This window comes from Homo sapiens, chromosome 2 (genome assembly GCF_000001405.40).
Source record: "Homo sapiens chromosome 2, GRCh38.p14 Primary Assembly".
Taxonomy (NCBI): domain Eukaryota; kingdom Metazoa; phylum Chordata; class Mammalia; order Primates; family Hominidae; genus Homo; species Homo sapiens.
Window position 1 is genome coordinate 58,036,179 of NC_000002.12, and position 22,774 is coordinate 58,058,952.

At 37.1% G+C, this 22,774-nt stretch overlaps 1 protein-coding gene and 1 long non-coding RNA gene across 16 annotated transcripts in view, besides 6 other annotated features; one reads left to right on the top strand and one right to left on the bottom strand.

Annotated features, from left to right (window-relative positions):
- VRK2 (VRK serine/threonine kinase 2) overlaps positions 1-22,774 on the top strand; it is a 252,329-nt gene that overhangs the window by 128,587 nt on the left and 100,968 nt on the right. For 4 of the 15 annotated variants that reach the window (XM_006712091.5, XM_006712090.5, NM_006296.7 and 1 more), the window contains exons 1-2: positions 10,628-10,690; positions 12,649-12,789. In XM_006712091.5, coding sequence (XP_006712154.1) covers positions 12,654-12,789 — 136 coding nt within the window. In that variant the 5' untranslated portion in view covers positions 10,628-10,690; positions 12,649-12,653. Of the gene's footprint in view, positions 1-10,463; positions 10,951-11,016; positions 11,199-12,648; positions 12,790-22,173; positions 22,311-22,774 lie in introns of those variants that run through there. The other 11 variants (NM_001288837.2, NM_001288838.2, XM_047445748.1 and 8 more) reach the window with 8 other exon arrangements.
- Positions 3,005-3,054: an enhancer, noted in NCBI's record as "active region_15792". NCBI's record gives its function as "activates an Ori minimal core promoter by ATAC-STARR-seq in GM12878 lymphoblastoid cells {active_cell/tissue: GM12878}" and the evidence as "EXISTENCE:reporter gene assay evidence [ECO:0000049][PMID:35858748]".
- Positions 3,898-11,055, bottom strand: LOC107984043 (formin-2-like). Its single transcript, NR_171623.1, has 3 exons — positions 10,346-11,055; positions 5,314-5,375; positions 3,898-4,890 (listed from the first exon to the last, which is right to left on the bottom strand). It is a non-coding gene; the product is annotated as a formin-2-like (long non-coding RNA).
- Positions 9,896-10,451: an enhancer, noted in NCBI's record as "H3K27ac-H3K4me1 hESC enhancer chr2:58273209-58273764 (GRCh37/hg19 assembly coordinates)". NCBI's record gives its function as "activates a minimal SCP1, AML or CMV promoter by ChIP-STARR-seq in naive H9 embryonic stem cells {active_cell/tissue: H9 hESC(naive)}" and the evidence as "EXISTENCE:reporter gene assay evidence [ECO:0000049][PMID:30033119]".
- Positions 9,896-10,460: a biological region, named in NCBI's record as "H3K27ac-H3K4me1 hESC enhancer GRCh37_chr2:58273209-58273764".
- Positions 10,341-10,460: an enhancer, noted in NCBI's record as "active region_15793". NCBI's record gives its function as "activates an Ori minimal core promoter by ATAC-STARR-seq in GM12878 lymphoblastoid cells {active_cell/tissue: GM12878}" and the evidence as "EXISTENCE:reporter gene assay evidence [ECO:0000049][PMID:35858748]".
- Positions 10,452-11,007: an enhancer, noted in NCBI's record as "H3K27ac hESC enhancer chr2:58273765-58274320 (GRCh37/hg19 assembly coordinates)". NCBI's record gives its function as "activates a minimal SCP1, AML or CMV promoter by ChIP-STARR-seq in naive H9 embryonic stem cells {active_cell/tissue: H9 hESC(naive)}" and the evidence as "EXISTENCE:reporter gene assay evidence [ECO:0000049][PMID:30033119]".
- Positions 10,611-10,880: a silencer, noted in NCBI's record as "silent region_11506". NCBI's record gives its function as "represses an Ori minimal core promoter by ATAC-STARR-seq in GM12878 lymphoblastoid cells {active_cell/tissue: GM12878}" and the evidence as "EXISTENCE:reporter gene assay evidence [ECO:0000049][PMID:35858748]".

Genomic DNA, 22,774 nt, shown 5'->3' on the forward strand with positions numbered 1-22,774 from the left:
CCTAATATATCTGGTAGATAGGAAGTAGAATAGAAGCAGTATTGTATATCCTTTTCCACCAGGAAAGGGAGTATTTTTGATATAATAATATTACTTTGGGCTTTCTATATTGCAAAAAAGGAATATATATTCCTTTAAACTATAAAGTATCTATATTCTATGTAGTACTAAATTAATTTCCCTTAGGATCTTTTTAAAAAAATGAATGTGGTGAAGAGGCAGTGGGCATATCATTAATTTCATTTCATAGAAATAACACAAATGAATTTTTCTTTGTTGTAATAGGTAAAAAGTACCATAGGTCTAAAATAAAGCATTAATCTACTCTAACTCTTTCTATTCTATGTGCTGAGATAACCCAATGTAATCAGTATCGAGATGGTATATGCCTTCCACAACTTTTCTATGTTCAAATTAATATATACAGAAATACTATGTAAAACCAAAAAAAATGTAGTTTAGAATTACAGTAATCAAAAAAATATGGTGTTGGCTAAAGAATAGACCATTCTCATATATATCACGCTATATTCTGTGTGGTTATCACACACAAGTAGTTAGTGTCAGCCTCCTGCTCAAGTCTCCAGTGATTTTCTATTGTCTATAGTAGTGATGTCCAACATAACTCTCTATAATGATGGAAATATTTTATAATCTATACTGTCCAATAGGGTAGCCACTAGGTACATGTGGCTAAGGAGCACTTGAAACATAACTCATGAAGCCGGTACCGAATTTTTCATTTTGCTTAATCTTAATTTTATTAATTAATTTTTTTTTGACAGAGTCTCACTCTGTTGCCTAGTCTGGAGTGTAGTGGTGCAGTCACTACTCACTGTAGTCTTGTCCTGGACTCAAGCCATCCTCCCATTTCAGACTCATGAGTAGCTGAAACTATAGGCATGCACCACCATGCCCAGCTAATTTTTGTATTTTTTGCAGAGATAGGGTCTCATCATGTTGCCCAGGCTGATCTCCAATTCCTGGGCTCAGGCAATCCTCCTGCCTTAGCCTTCCAAAGTTCTGAGATTACAGGCATGAGCCACCATTCCCAGTGTCTTGATTCGTTTAAATGTACACGGTCGCAGGTGTTTCATGACTTCCGTGCTACACAGCCAAGGTCTATAATGTCAAGGCTAAACTCTTTATCAAGTACTCAAGATCCTATATAATTTTAGTTGAGACAAACTGAGCTCAAGGTCTATAGGCCCTAAGAATAAAAACTGAAAGACCTTAGAATCTGTTTATTTTCTATGGGAAAGGGGGCAGGTGGGGTGAGGGGTGCAGAAGTAGGTTTTGACTCTTGTTCCATAAATATCTGCATGTTTGCAATGAAAAGCTTAAAGAAAAAAGCTGTTTGTGGAAGACACAGAAACAAAATCCCCCATTTTTCATAAAAGTGTTTTAAAAGATGTGGGCCAATACCTTCCTACTCAAGAGTATTCTCAGGATTGAGAAAATTGAGGAAGTACATTCATATCTAAGGAGATATTTACTATGCTAGGTTCTTTGCCATCTTTTCATTTAAACCTTACAATACTCCTGCAATATGTCTCCCTTCTTTTTGCCAATAAAGAAACTGTTTTCAGAAAATGATCAAACTGAGTAGAAAAATGGGTAGAGCTATGGCCAACAACTAATTTTACAAAGTACAAATGCCTAATAAACAAATGAGAAGTTTCTTAACCTTACTAGTAATCAGAAAAATAAAAATTAAAACAACACAATAATTTGCCATCTCATTGGGAAAATATAAAAGACTGAAAAACAGGCAGTGTAGCAAGTATTCATTCAACAAGCATTTATTTCATTGCCTGCTACATGCCAATATAGGAATTAGAATATGACACCCCAAAATATGCCACTTTGATATAAGGATGATTTGGAGCTGAAAGCAATTGAGGAGCAACATTGATATGGTTTGGCTCTGTGTCCCCACCCAAATCTCATCTCGAATTGTAATCCTCAGGTGTTGAGGGAGAGGCCTGGTGGGAGGTGATTGGATCATGGGGGTGTTTTCCCCCATGCTGTTCTTGTGATAGTGAGTGAGTTCTCACAAGATCTAATGGTTTTATAATTGGAGGTTTCCCCTGCTCTCTTTTCTGCTGCCTTGTGAAAAAGGTACTTGAAGTTTCTTGAGGCCTCCCCAGCCATGCTAAACTGTAAGTCAATTAAATCTTTCCTTTATAAACTACCCAGTCTCAGATATTCCTTAATAGCAGTGTGAAAATGGACTAACATGAGCACACACAGGAAGAACTTTCCGGCCTCCTCCTTTCTGCCTTACAGTGGTGTATAAATTTTCCTTTGTAAAGGCAACACAGATTTTCATTTGTAAAGGTGTTTTTCTCTCCAGTCCCGAGTGTAGGATAATTATTCTTATCTGCCTAACAAAACTTACTAAACAAGCCTTATCTACCCCAGATTTACCAGTCTCTGTTCCATAGTTTACTGCCCCTAGGAGCCCTCATTTCTTTTGTCTAGTCACTTCTCCATAATATATCACACTTTGTTAAAATGGTATATATGCCTACAAGTCTAACTTCTTTGAGTTTTCACTTTCTTTCTGTGAGACCCTATGCACATAAAAAAATTTAGCATCAATAAAGATACATACACCTTTTTTCCTGTTAATCTGTCTTTTGTCAATTTAATATGCAAGCCTCAACCACACAACCTCAGCCACTACTACAGGTGCTGATGAAATAAGACTGATCAACATTCTGCTTTCATGATAATTTGGAATAAAACAAAAAAACCCTAAATATCCATCTAAATAAAAACGATTAAATGATGATACATCTACACTATGGAATATTAGAAGACATGTACAACTGGAATATGATAAAATATTTATATATTGATGCAGGTTGGGGAAGCCACAATACTATTAGTTGATAAAAATCAAGATGTGAAACAGCAAGTAAGGTATTATCTGATTTACGTAAAAATAAAACAATTTTAAAAGCTATTATACAACCTACATCATCCTGGCCAGTTTATACCCTCATTTTGAAAAGATCCTCACATAGGATCATATTCCAAGAAACAACTCTCCTGCAGCCAAAGATAACCGAAAGCAATGTGCATCCTAATTGCACTTCCTCACAACATTGCCAAAAGGGGAAGTACATTCAACTCTTAAAAATGCTCTTTTTCTTTCTCTTTCAGTCTCAGTTATCTCAGAGCAGCTGTTCTCCACAAAAAACTTTCATATTCCTCTCTCCTTATTCCCTAAAAATTTCTCCTACATCCAATAGGATTGAATTCTTGTCTTTTCTGTTTCTCCTCTAGCCTTCTTAATTATTTTTCTCCCTAGCATTTCTTTTTATTTCAATATGAATTTCCTGGCTTCCTGAGATCACTCCTTGTCTTTCCCCAACTCATTACCCCAATAAGCATATTAAAGACTCAGGATTTAGTGACTAATTGTTTAAGGATGGGGGATCATGACTGATGACTGGAGAGGGGGAAAATGTGTTTGTTATACTGTTAATTGAAAAAAGCAGAATAAAAATATTATATACACACAATTTGAGTATAACTGTGGAAAGCATATAACCTAAAACCTTTTACGGGATAAAAAATAAAACACTAAAAGGAAATGCACTAAAATGTTAACAGAGAGTATTTTTAAAAATTTTTTATGGGCAATTCCCCCTCTATAATTACTTCTTGATATTTTCTTAAATATTTACTATAAGCATGTATTTTATTTTTATTTATTTTTTATTTTTATTTTTATTTTTATTTTTGAGACAGAGTCTCACTCTGTTGCCCAGGCTGGAGTAGTGTTGTGATCATAGCTCACTGCAGCCTCAATCTCCCAGGCTCCCAATCCTCCCACCTCAGCCTTCTGAGTAGCTGGGAATACAGGCACACACTACCACACCTGGCTAATTTTTTTTACTTTTTATTAATAATTTTTGGTAGAGACAGGGTCTCGCTATGTTCCCCAGATAAGCATGTATTTTATAATAAATAGATTTAAATATTGGTATATCTTAAGGAATTTGATAATTGTGTATCTCTCAGCTGGAATCTATATTTTTCACTCATTTCTAGATCCACAGACATCTGAGTGTATTTGCCTGAAATAACAAGGAGTCTTCAGTGAGATAACTCAATATAACAGGTAACAGAAGGGGAAGTCAGGAAGACTAGGTTTGTCCAATTACTTTTATGATATCTAAAGAAAAATAAATCTGAATATAACATAATATCTTTCACTTGTCGTGTCCACTAGCTCCCAACTGCATGCTTAGGTCCTGAAATTGGCAGTGAGACTTAGAGGAAAACCTAAATACACTGTTTACATTAAAACATTTGTTAGCCCCTGTAGTGGAAGTAGTAAAGCAGTAAGAGAAATTGTGACCCAAAGCGACAAGAGAAGCCTTTGCTTCTGTGTGGACCACAACTTGGTTTAAGTGTCTTAAGGGCTGCAGAAAATCCAGGTCCATTTTGATGCCTTGCAAGCTACAGAATGTCAGAGATAGAGCTGTGTGGAAGAAGGCAGCTAGCAACATTAGCCAGATACTTCCACCTAGTTCATTAGGTAAGCTATGTGTCAACAGTAGATACCAACCAAAAGGTTCACAGTAGGAGAGACAAAGTGATGGAGCACATCTGAGATAGTCATTGGGAATGGTCAGGAATATTTGGGGAATAGAAGGTTCGTTCAAGACCCTTAGAGGATGTTGTTGCAATTGCATGAAAGGTAAGCCTAAAAACATGACTTACATGACACACAGGAAAACTATTTCTTACTTCTCCTCTGAAGGTGTCAACTCTATTCTTATTGAACATTCAGCTTCTGCTTAAAAATCATTCGGCCAGCTCCTCTTCTCCTCCTTATCCAGCTCATGTTTTTGGTTACTGCAGGGATGTTAACTGGGGGGGAAAAAGGATGTAGAGTGTAAATATAGTCTTATAGTTAACCTTTTATGGTGCTCGTATTTGGGGAATGGACAGGGTAAGAATCATACCACTTTTGGCTAGTCAATATTTGGTTTACTACATTCAATTGTTTGAGAGATAATCTGATACATATTTACATTTACATTTTGTTTGGCAGCAGGGTTCTACAAATTAATATGCTTAAAAATTTTTTATTGAGCCTTTTGACTATAAATGAAAAATAAAATTCTAAGCCCCCGAACTAACTGAATGGACCCCTCTTTTCAGCCAAGGACATTCCAAAGTTAACTGGAAACACCAGTTCAGGCCATGATGGAAATGGGTGGTTGGGTATGCATACCCTCTGCCCTTTGAAATTCCCACACAACTGACCAGCATTAATATTAAAGCACAGACCTTTGGACTGACGAGACAGACTTTTTGTAGCAATAAGATACCAACATGACAGATACCAGGCCCTGAAAAAAAATGAAGCAGTTTATCCCCAAATATATTTCTTTGACATGTTTTGAAATGGCCCTGCAAACATTCTCTTGTGGAAAAAATCTACATTCTGTAGAGAATCCCCTTCCCTTTCCAAGTCTTTTTCCTGATCCAGAAGAGAATTAACTAAGAATCTGGCATCTTTTTAAGTCTGATAAGAAACATTTAAAGTCTATTCTCTCTGAAGCCTGCTACCTGGAGGCTCCATCAGTAAACTAATACCCTTGGTCTCCACAACCCCTTATCTTAACCCAGATATTCCTTTCTGCTGATTCCAGGTCTTTAGATAAACTCAGAAAATCTTTGAATCCACCTATGACCTGGAACTCCCCCCTCCTACCCCCCTTTCAAGCTGTCGGGCCTTTCCAGACTGAACCAATGTACATTTTACAAGTATCGATTGACGTCTTCTGTCTCCCTAAAACATACGAAACCAAACTGTAGCCCAACCATCCTGGGCACATGTTCTCAGGACCTCCTGAGGCTGTATCCCGGGCATGTCCTTAACCTTGGCAAAAGAAACTTCTAAATTGATTGAGACTTATCTCAGATACTTTTTGGTTTACATGACATATTGATATGACATTTTAAATTATTTTTAATATTCTAATTCTTCATTTATATAGACAATGAAGAATTATGTCATTTGGATGATTAAGTTTATACTTTGTAATGATCTTATATGTAAAGAATGCAGAGGACATAGATACTTGGTCTGATTGTTTATCTAATGGGCTTGGAATTCCATTTACCTGAATTCTATTATTTTCAAAATTATTAATTTCAAAATTTCTATGTCAGGAACTGCTTAGCTGTTTAGAGATTGTAAGTTTATGAGTGCAAATGGCCTCCTGATTTTTACAGAACAAAAATACTAGCTCTTCTTTGGCAGGCAAAACACGTTCACTGATATGATCTCCTTATCTCACTTTAAATAACAAAAATTGGCTTTTTCTGAATGTTTTGTCTATGCATCATCTTTAACATTTTAATTGATTTGAAATGATCTTGGCCTTGTAAAGTATGCTTACTAAATGGTTGGGTTTTTCTTTTTCTTTTTAACCAGTGTAAGCATTTTATAGCACCCAGTTCTTTGAAAAGCAGAACGCATGCCATACCTACAAGTTGGCATACAGCCAAGAAAGTCCTTTTGTGTGCGTGTATTTGTGGTGAATCATTCATAGCCTGTAAGATCTATCAAAATAGCTTTGTTTGAAAACCTAGTTTTCCCCATATTTTTTTTCTGATGACTCACACTTCACTGCTTTCATGTCTAGATTCTCTTTTCTTTCTTGTTTCTCATCATGTTCATTCAGAAGATGTTCTTTCACTAGTTCCAAAATTTGTATTTCTATATTCTGTCAGTTTTCATCTTGAAACATACACACAGCAATATGCTCTGAATCATAAAATTCTGCATTAAATCCCAACACTTAAAAAAAACACATATTCTCAATATAGGTTTACCTGCTCCTGTTGCCATTTTTATTTAGTACAAATTTATTAACATTTAAAAATCATTGGCACTTATGAAACTTGAAACTTTATTTTACTGTTAGGAAGATTTTGGCTGCAAGAAATATAAAAACCAATGCTAAGTGGTTTAAATCATAAGAACACTTAACACTTCATGGATGAATATGAAAATATGGTGGTTCAGGATTAGTTGAATTAGTAGTTCAATAATGGCCTCAAAGACTCAGGATCTTCCTATCTTTCTCTTTTGCCATTCTTTTAAATCGATTTTATTAAGGCATAATTTATATATAATTCAATTTTAAGTGTATAACTAGAGGAATTTTGACAAATGTATAATAATGTATCTATTACCACAGTAAAGAAATTTAACATTTGCAACGTTTCAGCTCCTTGCAGTCAATCCCAGCTCTTCGATTTCGAATAAATTATTATATTATATATACTCCTTTGTGTCTTCTTTTACATAGCATTGTGTTTTTGATATTCATCCAGCTTGTTGACTGTATTGGTGCTTTGCTCCTTTTTATTGCTGAGTGATAGTTCATTGTATAGTAGATATAGTATAATTTGCTTATTCATTCACCAGTTGATGGAAATTTATTTCCAGTTTTGGCTATCACATATGAAGCTGCTCTAAAGATTCCCCTACAAGTCTTTGTGTGGATACAGGTTTAGATTTATCTTGGGTAAATATGCGAATGCTGGGTTGTATGTTAATTATATGTTTGACACTATAAGAACCTGCCAAACTGTTTTCCAGAGTGGCTGTACCATCAACAGCAATATAAGAGAGTTCCAAGTTGTTCCAAATCCTTGGTAACTTATTAGTATTTTTTGAAAAGCAAAAGTTTTTCATTTTGATGAAGTTAAATTGTCAATTTCTTCTTTTAGGTTTCCAGCTTTTAAATTTTTTATACTTTATAAGTGCACACATTTAAAGATTATATAGAGTTTCTGCTAGGTTTTCTCTAAAAAGTTTGAGATTTAGATCTTGTATTTAGATTTAGCTGTATGATCAGTTTCAAGTAAATTTTTACATGGGGTGTGAATTAAGGGTTGAGGTTTCTTTCTTTCTTCTTTTTTTTGTATATATGGATGTCTAGCTGTTCTAACATTTGTTGAATATTCTGCCATTCCTGGGGCTTTAGATTAGTACTTTTTCCCATCTTTGTGGTCACACGATGACTGCAGCCATTTTAACCATCACATCAGAGACTATCTCTTCCAAGAATGTGTCCAGCAAACTTCTTTTCACCTCGTTACCTAGACTCAGCACATGCTTATTTTGTACTGTCTAAACCAATCATGGGAATTGGAATGGGGCCAGCATGGTTCATTTATTCATTGAAGAAGGAAATGGTTGCCCATATCCTTTCTAGGGGTTGGGGATACAGTAGTGACGAAAACAGGCAAAAATGTTGCCTGACCTCATGAAACATACAATTTACTGAAAAAGATTGTCTTTTGTCAAAATAAATAATAAACTGTATAATATATTGCTGTATAGCAGTAGGTACTGGGAAAAATACAGGGAAAGAGGCTACGAAATATTGTGGGTGAGCTGAAATTTCAGATAGGATGTTTAGGAAAGGTCTCACTGAACTGACTTTTAAATAAAGACCTGAAGGAAGTGATGGAGCAGTCTATACGGATACCAGGTTGGAGAGTGGTCCAGGTGGCAGTAAATGCGAAAAGTTCTTGAGAACAGCAGGCCACTGTGGTTGAAGAGAGTAATAGGACATTGGGGAGTGGGAGTGCATAATAGGTAGATCAGTGTTCTTTTCAACGACTGGCAATTTTGGCAAAATTTCGTCATGTTGGGGGATATTTTGGTTGTTAACTTGTGTGGGAGGGAGTGCTGAGGAGACCAGGGATACTGCTAAATATCCTACAATGCACAGGACAGCCTATCTCTCAATCCTCCTCCTTCTCCCAAACCCCCAACAAAGAATTATCCAGGCTGACTGTCAATAGTGCCCAGGTTGAGAAATGCTGTTTAAAGTCATAGCGAAGACTGGCTAATTGTGAGTAAATTGGAATAACACTGAATTGTTTTAAGCTCAGTAATTATTTAAGCGTTAAGGATCATGTGGCTGCTTGCTGTGAACAGACTAAAGGGATAAGAGGGTATAAAACATTTAGGAGGGTAATACAATTACCTAGAGAAAAAATATGGTTTGGGCCAGAATGCAGGTAAGGGTGCTAAGTGATAGATGCTGGATGTATTTTGAAGGTTGAGCCAACAGGATTTACTAACACTGGATACATGCCTGTAGGGAGAGGAACCACCTACAAGTAATCTGCTGTGGTTGCTACTGGAGTTGTTTCTTCTCAAAAGGGAGCCGGGGAAGTGGTGGAAAGCTAAACAAATTTGGAAAGGAGGAAAGAGTACCCAATATGGATATTAGGATTATTATGCATCTGTTACATAAATATCTGTAATTATGCATCTGTTATATAAATATCTTAAGAAAATAAGAAAGGACACTGTTGGACCAGTGAATGACTAAGGGCACAATTATTCTATGGACTGTTTCTTTAAAAATACTTTTTTGTTTGTTTTTAGAAACGTCTTCTCATGCCATCTTTCATTTTGGTGACAGTCTGAAAGATGTAGGGAGCCCCAATTCCTTATTCTATCAAAGTCATTAAAGGGCTCTAATTTTCCTTTCAGTATTTGTATCCCAACCAATTATTGGTGGTTACTATGTAGAATGCTGACGTATTAATAATCTTTGTCTAAGCATTTGTTTGGTTTAGTCTAAAATATAAGCTTACTATGAGTCTTTTTTTTCTTTCCTTCGAGACTGAGTTTCCCTCTTGCTGCCCAGGCTGGGGTGCAGTGGCGCGCTCTCTGCTCACTGCAATCTCTGCTTCCTGGGTTCAAGCGCTTCTCCTACCTCAGCCTGCCGAGTAGCTGGGATTACAGGCGTCCGCCACCACGCCTGGCTAATTTTTTGTATTTTTAGTAGAGATAGGGTTTCACCATGTTGGCCAGGCTGGTCTCAAACTCCTGACCTCAGATGATCCACCCGCCTCGGCCTCCCAACGTGCTGGGAGTACAGGCGTGAGCCACCGCACCTGGCCACTATGAGTCTTTATGTATTAGAAAACTGCTTAATAAAGTCCTCACCTTATTGTCATAATCTTATAACCAATAACCTTATAATCTAACAACAAGGGTTATTTCCATTTCACAGACAAAAAAACCTGAAGTTTGTTAATTACGGTGTTAAATTATCCTACGATTAATGGCAGAAATAGGTCCTGAACCAATATGCCTTTGAGAACTTAAACGCGGTGAGTTACATACAGGCCCTCCTAACTGGAGTCTTCGCTAGTACCAATAGTTAGTTGCTCGGCGAGAGCTCGGTAAGGACTAGCCATTTGGAAGCTCGTAGTACTCAGGTTGTGGTACAGGAGATCTAACACTCCTACACAAATGCATGTCGTGCTTATTTCGTACCAAACTGGTCTGGCGGCGGTTCTTCGTCCAGACGCTGGCGGGCCAGGGTGGAGGTAGTAACACAGCTCCCATTCCCCATGTAGCCGCGCCCTCTCCTTCCCCTGGGCGTCTCCGGGGCGTGGACAGGCCGCTGAAAGGAACCGGCTGCGGCCTGTGTGAGGCTCCGCGGGCCGCTGCACTGCGAGGCCGACGCAGCTGGAGAGAAGTTAGGCAGGTCCTAGGGAGGGCAGGCTCGAGTGCTGGGCCCGCCTCCCCGCGGGACTGTAGGCCCGGGGGCTCCGCCTCGTCGCAGCGGCAGGTAGGAGGCGGTGCGCGCGGCCCGGCGACGGGGGATCCTGAGGCCCGGTCAGTCTCTTGCTCTGGGGTCTTGGGTGGCGGGCGGCACCTCCGCTTGCAGTGCCGGAGCCGCGGCCCCGCTCGGAAAAGGGCTGCCGTCGGAGTTAGATGCCGGGGACTCCGGGCCGTCCCAGCCCCCGGGCCTCAGCTCCGGCCCGGGCAGAGTCGCTGCTTCCGCGTTTGGTTCTTTTTTCCCCGCTGGGAGTGAGAACAAGGCGTCCCCTTCTACTCACGTTTGCCAAAAGCGGGTCCGACGTGTTAGCGGAAAAGTGGGTGGAGTTTCTCTTTTTGCCGGTGCAGAGAGAACTTGTGGCGGGAAGTTGGGGCGCGGGGTTGGCCGTAGGTCCCCGGCGTGCTAAGGGCGGACGGACCAGGCGGCTGGGCCGCGCTGCTTCTCGTTACCTTCCGCAGGGTCAGGGGCCGCGGCGGGGTTGGAGGTCAGCCCAGGCACATGTTAACCCCTGGGTACCAGTTTGCTCGGAAACTCGTGTTGAGGACTCATCTTAGCCCTGGGAAGGTACCCAGAAGCCGAAGGGACACCCCTGACAGGGACGGGCCCTGAGAGGCTGTCGTTTCCCTTGGCAGATGAACTCGGGACTCGCCCCCAGGATGTACATTTCGTAGAGTCTCCCTTACCGCCTCAAGCCCTGAGGCCGCTGCCTTGCCCCAAAGTGTATTTATCTTTTTTATAATTATTTAGAATTTATTCCTTAATCAGTAGTTTACACTTTGGAGACTTTAAGTTTTAAATCAGTAAATCTGTAATAGGCACCAGCCTATATAATGTACTGGTCAAGGGAAACCTCCACAAAAACTTTTCCTGCTTTATGATACAATCAATGCTCTAGGCATAGTTCACCATCCAAATTCCCAGCCCTTGTGTGCCTATCAGGAGGAAGGTGAATATTGTTAAAGATACACGCAGCGACTCTACCTGGGACAATACTGCTAAGTAAAAAAGCAGTTAAGTGAAGGAGGAAAAACCCGTTAAAGGAAAAACAGATACTTTCTTTTATGGAAGCTAGGAAGATTATATTAAGAAAACTTTACATTTACGTATATACGTTTTTAATTAACTTTCATGTCAGAAACTCTTAATAGTTTTAAATACTTAGAGGATCATGGTTACCTTCACATTTAAATTATTTTCAGGCATGTATGCTGGCATATGTATTTTCCCCTAAGAAATTTTCTCTTTTAACTCAGAATTTCCCATTGAGAAATTTGCTAACCTATGTACAATTATAATTAGTTGATTAAAGTTGCATGGCTGTGCTGTGGAGATTATGCTTTTGTTGTTGGTGGCACAGTTGTAATCTCTAAGGCAGGACTGTTTTCACTGTGATAAACTGAGAAAGAGGGTAAGAAGACAAAATGCTGAGAATATTTTGGCAGCCCGAGAACTGATGGCCTAGTATTCTGCTAAGTTACATATCCGTGAAAATCCCTGGCTCATTTAACAAATGTTTACTGAGTACCTAGTATCACGGTGGTGAGATGTCCATTGCCATTGTCTGTGTCTTCCCAATCCAATCCTGTGTTCTTTTCTAGTGACTGAAGACCTTCTCACTTTTAACATTTTACATTCTCAGTGACAGCAATATTTCCATGTACATGAAATTTATTTTCTTTCTTCATTGGAAATTGTTAATTTCGTGTTTCTTAAGGTGTGTCCTGCACTGTTAATATGTGCTATAGAACCCCGAAATGAATTTTGGATGAAATTTGGTTAGTTTGCTTCTGTTTTTTTAAAATATCTATACCTCTTAGATCTCAGTATTGTAATGTATGTGAATTTCTAATTTGAATATAATGTGTGGGCTTTTCCAAACTGAATTAACTTTAGAATCCTAATTTCTGGGAACCTGGGAAAGTTCCCTATTGAAGACATTTTGGGAAGTGTATTTTAAGAGTTTTGTTTGTTTGTTTTTCTTTTTACCCATTTATCTCACCCCTTCTGCCAACAGAAGTGATGCCACCAAAAAGAAATGAAAAATACAAACTTCCTATTCCATTTCCAGAAGGCAAGGTTCTGGATGATATGGAAGGCAATCAGTGGGTACTGGGCAAGAAGATTGGCTCTGGAGGATTTGGATTGATATATTTAGGTAAAGTAAAACCTTAAATTAACAATTATTCTTATATCTGTGACTGTAACCGTGATTACTTAGTGGTATTTTAAGAATGGAAATATGGAATTCATATGTGTACTTTATTAAAATTCATGATTGTACTCGATTAAGTAATAATAGAGTACAGTGTCTAGGTTCAAGACATCACTGACCCACTCCTTGTTGTCCATGTTTTTCTGAGTAAATCTTAGAAGTCTTTTTAGAGCATAATTATACAATCTGCCAGACAAAATGCTAACTTTCTTTTTTTTTGAGAGCTTGTTTTCTTAGAAACATGCTTTTTTCAGATGAGAAACCACAACTGTATAGATAAAAACACTTTCTGTTTGTGAATCTTAATCAATATTTAGGCAATACAAGAGTCTAGTCATTTCTTAATTGGGCTCTACTGGAGAATTCATAGATAAAACTTAAGGCATCTATTCTGTGAAATGAATTAACTTCTCTCTCGTGCATCTAGAGTGGTCCCTAGGGATGTGCCATTCTTGGGATAATTGAAAAAATAAACACTCAAAATTATTTTCTGTGATCTGTGGTACAGGTAAGGAACCATGGGCTGGATAGGCCTTTACATTGCATTTAAGCATTTAAAAATTACACTGAACTTTAATGGATCATTGAGTTGGAATGAGGAGGGGATATCCATTAAAAGATTGATTAATAAAATAAGGAAAATAGTAGTGATTTTTAAAAATATACCCTCAAGGATAAATTCTCCTAAATGTACTCACTTGAGACTTGAGATCACATCTATTTCTATAGGAGATTAAGGAGTTGATAAAATACCTCCGTTGAGGGAATCTTGGGTTCTCATCACATATTTCCAGAAAAACATGCTTCATGGATCCTGAAATATAAAAGATCCTCTTCTGATAAAATTAAGATTGTAGTTTTGAATGAATGAATGAATGAAGTTTGGTCAATAAATATCTGCTTATTAAATACTTAAGTGTCTATTCTAGTTGGAAAGACAAGATCAGCACAAAAAATTGTATGAGTCAAGTAAAGGACCCATTTAAAGGGTTTGAACTTGCTTGAAATTGCTTGAAAAAATACTATGGTTATTAAGTGCTAGATTGAATGACATAGTCAACACTGTTCAATAGAAATGTAATACAAGTTACATATGTAGTTTAAAATTTTCTAGGAGCCACATTAAAATACGTTAAAAGAAACAGGTGAAATTATTTTAATAATATTTAATCTAGTATATCAAAAATATTATTTCAATATGCTCTCAACATAAACAAATGAAATATTTTACTTTTTTAAATGAAAGTCTTCAAAATCCAAGGTGTATCTAGTCTCAAGAGCCCAGTTAGCCCATGTGGCTCATATGCTCAGTAACTACATGTGGCTGCTGTATAGAATAGTGCAAATAAAGACTATGTGAGGATAAGTATTGTTTGAAACTTGAACTTAGTGAATTCTCTTTTACAGCAAAGAGTTAAGATCTCTAGTATACTGTCTTGACTCAAGGTTGAGATATAGTGTTGAATAAATTATTTCTGATGTGGCTGAGCTATAGCCTTGAATTCCATAGCTTATCACTTTTGGTTTTCTAATATTTGTATTATTTGAGTAATTTCAAAGAACTAGAGAAAAGTATTGATGTGTTGATTTTATCTCTTTGATTTTCTTGAAATGTAAATATTATATGTATTTAAATTCAAGTGAATGTTTAAGATTAAATAGTGTATGTCTGTATACCTGTATGTATCTATGTGTACACATAGTCACTATTGTTACTGTTATGATAAAGGAATATACTTGCATAGGCATGTGACTTACTTGTCCCTATTCAAATGCAGAAAAATATTTGCTTCTTTCAGTCTAGTACAGTGTCACATATTTTTACTTTTTTTTTTTTTGAGACAGAGTCTCGCTCTGTCACCCAGGCTGGAGTGCAGTGGCTCAATCTCGGCCCACTGCAACCTCCACCTCCTAGGTTCAAGCAATTCTCATGCCTCAACCTCCCAAGCATCTGGGACTACAGGCACCTGCCACCCTGCCTGGCTAATTTTTGTATTTTTAGTAGAAACGGGGTTTTGCCATATTGGCCAGGATGGTCTCGAACTCCTGACCTCAGGTGATCTGCCCACCTCGGCCTCCCGAAGTGTTGGGATTACAGACGTGAGCCACTGTGCCCAGCCTACTTATTTTTTTTTATTACCAAAATAATACTGTTTGTTTTACAATATATTTTCAGGGTTCAATATGTAAGGGAACATTCTCTAGTATCTGAACTTTAGAACCTGGACCCTACCTAGGAAGATTAGCAAGTACACACCACTGAGGAAGGACTTTAAAGAAATATTTAGCTATTTTCAGAAAAAAGGCTCCAGTACTTCAGAATTTATAATAAAGATGTGTGTTCCAAATGTTGTAACTGTTCCATTAAAAGTGATGCTAATGAATCATAGAATCAGTTTAATTTCACTAAACTTAGTTTTTACTATTTTCAAAGCTATACAAACAAATCAATATGAAATTACATCATGTTTTTGCATTTTATCATGGTTCTCATCACTTCCTCTATATAAATGAAGAGAAGAAGCAGTAAAATTCAAATTTTCCTGAATACTTTTGTGTCCAGTGACATTCATTTCGATTCTTTCCAGATACCCTCTTTCAGCAGACACTTGATCAGCGTTTACTGCCTAAGGCTGAGAAGAAACTAGCTGCTCTGTCTAGCTCATTGTACATGTACAACTGTCCTCTAGCTTTGAGATCAGTAGCCAGGGCCTTTCGGTAATCAGCAGCTTACAGTTAAGGGGAAGGGGCAGAGAAGTTTGGTATTTACTCTTGACTTGGAGAAATAATGTGCCTCTAGCATTAATAAGAAATAGCTAAAAGAGTGAAAAGAAAAGTCTGAATACAAGAACAAAGTCAAAGTTCTTTCTTTGAATATGAAAAGAGAAGGGGAGGAAAAAGGAAGAAAGGAAACTGGTTTAGGGGATGGGAAAAATTGCTGTCATTTTAGTATCAAATGAATGAAAAAGTTTTTTAAATATCAGGAAGGAGAGAAAACTGAGGGTTAGAATTTTACTATAATGCTGGGTATAACACAGAACCAAGTAAATTACGGGAGAATTGCATAAATAATAGCAGAGGTTTTGGCATTAGGCATATCTGACCTGAATCCTGACCTGATGAAGCCACTTATTCATCTAGTTACTTAATCCTTTGGGTTGTTTCTATTCTGCATAATTGTGATAATAATAATTGTGAGGAGAATTAAATGAGATTTTTTTAAGGAACTTGGTAAGCATTTAATAAATGTAATTTAGTTATTTATTTCCATAGACTTTCCCATTCTTAATACTGGTGCCATAGTGGGGCCAGGCACAGTGGCTCATGCCAGTAATCCTAGCACTTTGGAAGGCCCAGGCGGGTGGATTGCCTGAGCTCCATCCAGCCTGGGCAACTTGGTGAAACCCCATCTCTACTAAAACACAAAAAATTAGCTGGTTGTGGTAATGTGTGTGTGTAGTCCCAGTACTCAGGAGGCTGTGGCATGAGAATTGCTTGAACCTGGGAGGAGGAGGTTGCAGTGAGCCAAGATTGCACCACTGCATTCTAGCTTAGGTGACGGAGTGAGACTGTCTCAAAAAAAAAAAAAAAAAAATGCTGCCATAGTGGATTAAGATGATGACAAAGAACTCCATTGGAAGGGTGGATTTTCTATTTATTCTACTATGAATTTTGGTGGATTTAACTACTAATGTGGTAAAACTGAGAACATAGAGAATGTCAGCATAAGACTTTATGACATTTTACTAACTGATAAAAGCTCCCCCTAAAATTTGCTATAGTAGTGAAAAGTTCTCATATAAGCTGTATTTAATCTGCCTCAGATATTAAAGCTATTGGTTTCAGAAATTATTCAAAATTGAGAATAACAGAATTACAGGATAAACTTTAGCCACATTCTTTTGAAGGCTGATTATGTAAGTAAAAGATATGATTTATCTGTAGCAGTTTTAGTTTTTTGAAGGTGGCATAGTGATGACCATTTAGCATCTTTGGAGTGTCAAGCACAGAATAGATGTTCAACAGTTATTTGCCTGAGAAATTGAGACTGAGATTGGAGTACTTAACCCACACAAGCTAGTTTGCTTTGTTCTCTTCCATAATTATAGATGTCACTCTTCGATCTACTGCAGATTAGTATCCTTAGTCACCAGGAAAGTTGAGACAAGGCACCTATCATGACATCATCTAAAAGAATGTGCATGTGCTTTATTGACAGGACATCAGTAGCAATATCTTTTATAAAGATACTATCTCAAAGCTTTTATAAAGAATAACACATTATTATAACTAAAGTTAACTGTGGTGAAGCCTGAAAATCAGATCATTTATCCATGGACAGATGTTTAAATTTCATCAAAGTGACTGCCAGACATTTTTGGATCATGTTGTCGGATTAGCCTAATTTTGTACTTCAGAAACATAGAAGGAATCTTTTGTTGGCGGATAGGTTTTTAGAAATTACCAAAGTTTAAATCATTTATTTTACTGATAAGGAAACATTTATATTTAAAACAAGTAAATATAAACCACATACATAGAATGTTTTTACTTCTTCATAAAATAATTTTTTATTTTCTTTATAAATAGTGAGCTATAATAGATTGATTTTAAGGTATGCAGAATAAAGTTTAGAAGAGCCCAGTGATAATACTAGCAACAAAGTAGTGTGTTGGAATACATATTGCTTCATTACATATTACATTATTAAGTGTTATTTTGGTAGTGTTTATAGAGAGCTTTGAGATAAATAGCCTTATCTGACACAATGCAACGTTGTGGTGCCACTGCAATTGTTATTAGGCAATTTTGCAAATGATACTGTGGGAGTGAAGAGAAGAATTGAATAAATGTGAAAATGAGAATAATTTGGACTAGAAACTATAGTGTTTATGATAAATTAGTCTCCAGAAGGTATAAATAATAGGTAATATAAACTCAAAACAGGGAAGGAATCACTTGGAGTTTTGTAAATTTAATACGTTTGTTGGACTTACAGACAAGAAATAAAAGTCTCTATAAGATGTATTTTAATTTTGTTTATATTTAAATTTTGAGTTTTTAAAGAGATAGCAGTACCCAGTTATCTATCAGTTAAGAAATCTGGGTGTTTAAGAAAGTTTGGGTTCCTTCCATTAAAAGGGAGATTTATAAGACTTGGCTTTTGCTTGGCTTTTTCATTTTTTTAAATATCCATTTTTAAGCATATTTTATATTATGGTTCTTCTTTATTTTCAACATTTTACTGTCAAATTCTTTTGCCTTAAGGGAAGATTTATAAAATACTCTATTCTTCAGTGCATTTATATATTATGTCTCTTCCACTGGACCTGTTACTATCTTGTAACTGTTTACAGTGGTCAAGGTTTTTTTTTTTTAATTTGAAACATATTGCTGTGGGGAAATTTCTTCTTCCTGAAATGAGCTCACCTCTATTGCCACACAATAAAAGAATTCTCAGCTTTTGAGAGCTCTGGCTTCCTTATGAAATATGGATAGACTTCTGCTTCTGAAGTGTTTTAGGTTTTTTTCTTTAGATAAGGAAGAAGAGGAATAAATAGTATGAGGTGTGTTTCTTCTTTTAAGACACAGGAATATCTATATCAGATAAATGAGAAGAAAATTAAGAAACTTTAAAGCTCTAAATGAGAGAGCTCATTAGAAATTAGCTACTTGGATGATGAAAATTTCTTCATCATCTACACTTAAAGGCATTTATGGTTTTTATACTACTTAGATACTTGATTTTGCAATTAGTATTTCTTTAGAATGTTTGTCCCTGATAGCTCCATCACATGGACTGTTATTCCTGAACACTCTGTTGTATTCTCCATGAAAAAATATTTTAGGAGAAAAGATAGAAAACTCAGCAATTATTTCAAGATAATTGTTGAGGACTTCCCTTGTTTCTTTTAAAAGCATAGCCTTTTGTTAGCCAGGTAGATTTATCTTTTCTTTAACATCTTCGATCAAGTAATACTTGAGGGAAATATTCTGTAGAAAGACATCCATTGAAGGCCAGAAACATCTACAGATGCAATGTGATCCCAAGCAATGAAGCATGTGGCCCTTCATTGGCATTATATGATAACAGGAGGATCTTCTGGCAGAAGAAGTGACTTTTGCTGCGTTCTGCATGCTGCCCCTCCAAACCCATCTTTGATTGGCACCTATGCCCTATTGAAACTGGCATCACACCTTCTGAATGGGCACAGTGCCAGGCTAGCAGATGGGTATGGGCAAAAGCATGCCAGAAACCCAGTATGTGAATCAAGTTTAAGTATCAGGGGCCCAAATTCCCATCCAGGGATATAAAAACTACAGTCTGTTGAGAGCTTTTTGTGCTTAAGGTTAAAGGACATGCCATTTCTACTCCAACTTAGAAGTTGATTAATTTTGAAAGTCAAACAGCAGCTCCTGTGGCTGTGTCAGGCAAAATCCTGTCTTTGGTGAATGAGAATTACTACTTCGTGTAGGGAAGAGAAAGTATTGTAATGAAGTTTCCAATGAGAGTTACTCTCCTGCAAGTGCCTCCAGCACTTAAGCAGCATGCATTCAGTGGAGATGAATATTTCTGTTCTCCAGCAGAGCCAGGTGCAATCAAAGCCAGATCTTCAACCTGCTGCAGTAAAGAACCCTAAATTTAGAAAGGGCAGGCAAAGTTTAGAAGAACTCCTTGGTGGCAGGCAGCTCTTTTCACTATGAGCTGATGAAGCTTCACAAAATTGTATAAAGGAGATGAAGGGAAAACTCCAAATAAAAGACCTTCAGAAAATTTCATCCAGAAACAGAAAGATTTTTAACAAACCAAAGGAAAAAGTTTAGTCCTTTCTCCTCAATGCAGAAAATCTTCTGAGTTTTCTATCAATAAAAACTTAGTTAACCAAAATGTTAGAACCAACTTAATGCATAAGTGACAAAACTTTCTATTTTTACATTTATTTCATTGCATGTCTATCATGTATATAAACTTTGCTTCTTGAATAATGGATTTTGCATAAAATTGAGAACTCTAAACATCATATTTCCTTCTGATTGTCTCACACCCACTACAGAACTCCCCTCCCCCACCCCCTAAAAGAGGGCACGCTTCCTTCTGATCACTTTAATCATATCTTCTAAATGCTCTAAAATTTACAGGAATGCCTGTAAGACCAGCTGTGGCCAAGAGAAGCTTTTCCTAATCGCCTTATAGCCGTTGCTTTTGCTTTTTCACTGTGTAAACTTTATCTATGGAACAGATTCCATGAGACCGTTGTGAATACTTCAACGTATTCAAAACATATAACTGCCACAAATTAAACTACTAAAACTAAAGCTGGTGCATTGTAACTGCCAAGTAAAACTGGCACGTCCCTCTGTCAGACTGCAGGAGAGTGTGCCATACAGTCCTCGGAAAACACAATTCATCCAGAAGCACTCTTGTCACTTGCTCTGATATTAAACCAGAGAAAGTGACATTAATTAAAGAAGTGACATGAGCCAACAAAGGCAATGAATTCTCAGCTTTGGCTCATGTGCAGACCTTAATCCAACCTGTTCTGCTTAGGTAGTGTGGCTATTTCTGAAGAGTAACTAGTGTGGCTACTCACCCCACTTCCTCTCATCTTCCCATTCTGCATCACGTGTTTGAGGAACTAACATTTTATATCCAGGGTTGGACTGGTTAATTGGTACACTGGTAGTCATTGCAGGGCTTCCCAAAATAGTAGTGTGGTGGCATGTGATGCTTTTATTGTACTTGGTAATAGTGTGAGATGTACAACTAGAGGTAGAGGAGAGTTGGTCTAACGAAAAGGCAAGCAACAGCCAAACAGCAGAATACCTAGACTTGGTAGACTGGAAGCGAGGAGGGTCTGCTGCTAGGACTGGTTGTGGAAACAAATGGTGGCTTGGTAGGCTTTATGAAAATTCTGAAATGCTAAAGAGGCATGCTGGGGAGTGTTCATAACTTCTCTCTTTCTTTGTTCCGATGGTGTGCTTTCACACAATGCTCACCTCATTATTTCAGACGGTCACTATTTTGTATGCTGTCTTTTTAACCTGTTTCCCCCAACATGTGTGCACACAGACACTACATTATAAACTGCTTTCAGGCAGTCACTCACAGTGCTTAATATGGCCTTGCATGTTATAGTTCTTAAAAAATGATGTGTTAAATTAACTCTAGAACTGTTCTATTATGATTTTCCCAATAAATAGGTTGTATGAGACAAAAAAATTCCATGCTCTATCCTATATGTGACCTGCGTGTAAGGCACTGTACTTTCAGATTTAGATAAATTCTTTTGTATCTTTTGGGGAGTTTGAAGGGATAAAAGTATGTGTTTATTCTCTTTTCAAGTATATTTTTAAAATACAAGAAGCTGTGTACTTAATCCATAGATTGTAGAATTTATTGTGAAGAGTCTACTCTGTTAAAGCATAGTATGGAGAGGGGACTAAAAAATGGACATTGTGTTAAGACAAATCAGTTTTCTCTTTCTAATAAAACAGTTCTTCTGAGTAGTATTTAATTGAAGTAGACCTAATAGCAAGTATAAACGTTTGTGGGGAAAAGCATGGTGTTTACTATAAAATGGATTGACTTATGTATGTATGCATGTAACATGCATAAGAAATCAACTTTTCAAAGAATGTAAGCACAACGTTAACAGAAAATAAATTATTGGGATTTCTTTTAATCCAAGTCTGTGAAAGGTTTGATTAAGGGTTTTGTACATAGTCAGAAGCTTTTGTTATGGTTTCTGGGCAGGGGTATTTTATGTTTGAGGTCGGGAATTTTCTATCCACATAATTAGTCATGAGGTTTAATGTACATTTTTTTTTTGTATCAGGCAGACAATGTCTTCAAAGAGACAGCAGTGCTGCAAAGGAGCAAGAAAAGAAGGCCAAAGTTGACACACAGAGAGGCAAAACAGTGTAGGAAAAATCAACACGTTTTGCAAAATCAATCATTGAAAATGTGTCAGCATTCAGGAGACTGTCTTTAATTTGCAATCCAAGTGAAATAGAGTATTTAAATATGAGAGGCAGTATTATTGAGCCCAGCATGCCTGCTACCACTTGTTTGACTAGCTCAGAATAGAACACTGAGAGGCAAGGGCTCAAAGTTAAATGAACATTTATACATTTTAAAATCAAATGAAAGATTCAGAGTATATTCATGAATTAATTTTTTTTCAAAACCCTAAATTTAATCAGCTGGAATTACTTTAAAAGTGTCATTCTATTTAACTTTTGGGAATGATGAATTTGCCTTTTAATAGGGATGCTGTATTTTATCATGAAGATGAAACAAACTGTCTTTTGTTAATTATTCCCCAGAGACACTGGCCATTTTTCTCTCTCCAATGCTTAGTGTGGAGTAAAGGCAGCTTCCCGCAAATTTATTTCAAGCAAGAGCAATCGGAAGCTTCGACATGTGTGAAAGAGGCGCATAGAGAACATAGCTTCCATTTCAGGTATTCTGAGTGCCACCTAATGAACCTCTTAGACATAATGTTACCAAAGTCTCACTGATGAGGCCATGAACATAGAACACAGAAAAGTAAAAAAGAATGAAAGAAGAGTCTGGTAAAGAGTAGTAGATGTGTCAGATGTGTCTGTAGTATCTGATAAATGCTGGGACTAGTTTTTGAATTCTTTTTTTTTAGGAAATTATCATATTTATTATAAAGTACTAAAATCCTTCACTTAGTGTGTGCCAAGCTCTGTGTTAAGTGCATTGCATGAATTATTTCATTGAATCCTCTCAGCAGCTTAACTAAGGAAGACATTGAGGCCTAAAGAGGATACGTAAATTACCTCCTGGCCACAATTTAAAAAATGTCTCTTCTATATTTGGACTCTGGTCCCTGCCCTACTGATGTCCCTTGTCCAAGAACACTTGAATTTATTGTTAGCCAGATAAAATAGTGACAAGTGG